The sequence below is a fragment of the Homo sapiens genome, chromosome 1 (assembly GCF_000001405.40).
Source record: "Homo sapiens chromosome 1, GRCh38.p14 Primary Assembly".
NCBI classification, from domain to species: Eukaryota; Metazoa; Chordata; class Mammalia; order Primates; family Hominidae; genus Homo; species Homo sapiens.
The window spans coordinates 23,263,024-23,266,782 of record NC_000001.11 but is presented as its reverse complement, the minus strand read 5'-3'; the positions used below and the strand labels follow the sequence as shown (position 1 = coordinate 23,266,782).

The 3,759-nt window shown below is 46.0% G+C and overlaps 1 annotated feature.

Moving 5' to 3' along the window:
- Positions 2,672 to 3,506: an enhancer, noted in NCBI's record as "OCT4-NANOG hESC enhancer chr1:23589770-23590604 (GRCh37/hg19 assembly coordinates)". NCBI's record gives its function as "activates a minimal SCP1, AML or CMV promoter by ChIP-STARR-seq in naive and primed H9 embryonic stem cells {active_cell/tissue: H9 hESC(naive and primed)}" and the evidence as "EXISTENCE:reporter gene assay evidence [ECO:0000049][PMID:30033119]".

Below are 3,759 nucleotides of genomic sequence, written 5' to 3'. Positions count from 1 at the left end.
TCTCTGTGGTCTCTAAAAAGCACCCCGGCTTTATGTTCCTCTGTTTGTTCTGTCTTATAGTAGGTACAAATTGGAGGATGGGCATCCCCTTTCACACGTTCCCCAGGCCCCATGCTCACTCTTTTCCAAAATAGATCCCATTCATTCCCCCATCAGAAGGGTGAGCTTGTAACCCAAGCCCTCATTTGCATGGGCTGCTTAAGGCCCTGTACCTAATTCTGTATTGGTAACTTTGCATTCTTTAAAGAGGGCAGTCCAAAATGTGTATGCTTGAAGATTCATGAATCCCAATCCATCTGGGCCCCTTTCTGGGCCTTCATTTCAAAAGATGTGAAAGATGGGGAGAAGAGAATGTTTTAGACAGTCCTGACGATGCCTTCTGAATCTCATAGTCTAAGACCCTGTACCTCTGCCATCATAGACTCATGGTTTCTCATTGCTGCTTAGGCCAAGACAAAAAATTTCTACTCGGCTGGGTGCAGTGGCTCATGCCTGTAATCCCAGCACTTTGGGAGGCCGAGGCGGGCAGATCACGAGGTCAGGAGATCGAGACCCTCCTGGCTAACATGGTGAAACCCCATCTCTACTAAAAATACAAAAAATTAGCCAGGTGTGGTTGTGGGCGGCTGTAGTCCCAGCTGCTCAGGAGGCTGAGGCAGGAGAATGGCGTGAACCCGGGAGGCGGAGCTCGCAGTGAGCTGAGATTGCGCCACTGCACTCCAGCCTGAGCAACAGAGCAAGACCAAAAAAAATTAAAATTAAAAAAAAATTTCTACTGAAGAGGCTGAGGCAGGAGAATCACTTGAGCCCAGGGGGCTGAGGCTACAGTGAGCCATGATAGTGCCACTGCACGCCAGCCTGGGCAACAGAACAAGACCCTGTCTCAAAAACAACAGGCCGGGTGCGGTGGCTCATGCCTATAATCCCAGCACTTTGGGAGACCGAGGCAGGCAGATTGCTTGAGGCCAGGAGTTTGAGACCAACCTGGCCAACATAGCGAAACCCATCTGAGGATTCTGGCATAGTATGCTACAGCTCAGAACTCCTGGACTCAACAATTGCATTGTCTTGAGAGCAAAATTAGGATTTTAATTTGGGACTTTTGATTCTTAGCTTACAGGATGAAAGTCTAGAGATTTTCACTGCATACTCAGCGTCTTCCTTTTCCAGTAGAGCTGCGGCACATGAACCTTTTAAGAAAGACTTCCATCTAAAATAAAAATTGGGCTGGGTGTGGTGGCTCATGCTTTGTAATCCCAGCATTTGAGAGGCCAAAGCAGGTGGATCACTTGAAGTCAAGAGTTCGAGACCAGCCTGGCTAACATGGTGAAACCCCATCTCTACTAAAAATACAAAAATTAGCCAGGCGTGGTGATGTGCACCTGTAATCCCAGCTACTCAGGAGGCTGAGGCAGGAGAATCACTTGAACCCAGGAGGCGGAGCCTGCAGTGAGCGGAGATTGTGCCACTGCACCCCAGCTTGGGCAACAGAGCAAGACCCCATCTAAAAAAAAATTAATTAAAAATCAAGAAAATTGTCTTAAAGAATGGGTTAAGATGGGTTAAGATTCAGTTTTTTTGGATAATTTGGATAACTCCCCACATGGGCAAGTCCAAACGTGCAGATCAAGGAAGTATCACTGCTACCACTTCACCACCTAGGCCAAGTATATTATTTTCACCTTGATGTTACTTTGATAGTGGCTTGGGAATTAGGTTAATTTGCACCTGTTGGTAGAAGTCAGAGAGGTGTTACCAAATCTGTCACAAGCTCTCCTTCCCTAATTCATCTGCAAGCTCCCCTTGAGGGGAAGGAGGGCATGGCTTTCATGTTTTCGGCATTCCTCAGCCATCACCTGCAGAGAGACACCTGCTAGGGGCAGGGTGTATAGATTTTCCCTAAATCAGTCTTTCAGGGTTCCACACTTCATTCATCCTAAGTGCAGCAAAAATTAAATAAGAAGCTTCATCAGGCCAGGCCCGGAGGCTCACGCCTATAATCCTAACACTTTGAGAAGCCAAAGCAGGAGGATAGCTTGAGCCCAGGAATTCGAGACCAGCCTGAACAACATAGTGAGATCCAATCTCTACAAAAAATAAATAAATAAATAAATAAATAAAATTTTTATTTATTTTTTTGAGACAGGGTCTCAGTCTGTCGCCTAGGCTGGAGGGCAGTGGCGTGATCTCAGCTCACTGCAACTTTTGCCTCCCAGGTTCAAGCGATTCTCCTGCCTCAGCCTCCTGAGTAACTTGGACTACAGGCACTTGCCACCATGCCTGGCTAATTTTTGTGCTTTTTGGTAGAGATGGGGTTTCACCATGTTGGCCAGGCTGAAAAAAATTTTTTCAATTAATTGGGCGTGGTAGCCTATGTCTGTGGTCCCAGCTACTTGGGAGGCTGAGGTAGGAGGACCACTTGATCCTGGAGGTTGAGGCTGCCATAATCATGCCACTGCACTCCAGCCTGAGCAATGAAGCAAGACCTCGTTAAAAAAAAAAAAAAAAAGGAAGGAAGGAAGGAAAAGAGAAAAGAGCTGTAAAAAACAAAACAAAACAAAACAAAAACAAGCTTCGTCATAGTATCATGCTTGGAGACAGTGCCAGGGATGGAATACAGCAACTTAAACAAACAACAGCCCTTTATATGGCAGCATAAACTGAAACAGCTCCCCTTTCCTCCTCCAAGATGAGGGGAGAAGCTTGGGCTGAGCTGGGCACCTTTTAATGTTTCCTAATTTGAGGAAGCTTTGTAATACAATTCAGGGCAAGACGGGGGAAAGGCACCTTTTGCATAATAAGACCAGAGCTATCTAACAGCAAATAGGATACAAATCAGGGTAACAGAAGAATACTAACTTGTCACTCAGAAAGGCATGCTCTCCAGGAGACCAATTCTCATGGGAGAGGAGTGTTTGCTTTCAGATGTTTACCAGACTAGAGGTTCAGCCTGGAAGCACCCAGAGATCCCTTCCTCACCCATGGAACCAGGGCTCGCCTTTGCATTGGACAGGGCTGGCCTAAAGAGAGACAACAATGAGAAGAGAGAAGAGAGTCAGGGAGCATGGGAGCAACTGCAGGACACCCTCTCTGTCACCCAGGATACATTTGTAATGCAAAGAGCTGAACAATCCATCCCAACTCCCTCTACTGTCTTCCCAAGACCAAGAGAGATAATGGATCTGAGAGTCTCATAAAATGCAATTTGGGTGCAATCAATGACCACCCAAGAAGAGTTTGGCAACCTCTTTCTTCAGGTTTCCTCCCTGGAGCACAAGCTTTCTCAGCCAAGGCACTATTGACCTTTTAGGCCTGTCAATTCTTTGTGGAAAACCACGGCTCCAGCAGAGGCACAGGTGGATTTATTGAGTTGCTAATGAAGTCGTGGCCTCAAAACCCTTCATTTACACTATTAGCTCCTTCCAAAGAGCTGAGGGAGGTCCTAATGAATGATGTGTTCACAGAGTGAACGTTTTTTGTAAAATTTGTTAAAAACATTTTTTAACTGCAATTGGTTAAGATCACTCAGTCACACATTATCTCCTTTTACTCCAGCACTTTCTTATAAAAATTTGTATTTTTGTGGCTTTTTTTTTTTTAGAGAGGGGGTCTTGCTCTGTCACCCCAAGGCTGGAGTGCAGTGGCTCAACCATGGCTCATTGCAACCTCCAATTCCTGGGCTCAAGGGATCCTTCCACCTAAGCTTCCCAAGTAGCTGGGACTGCAGACGGGAGCCACTACTATGTCTGATAATTTTTT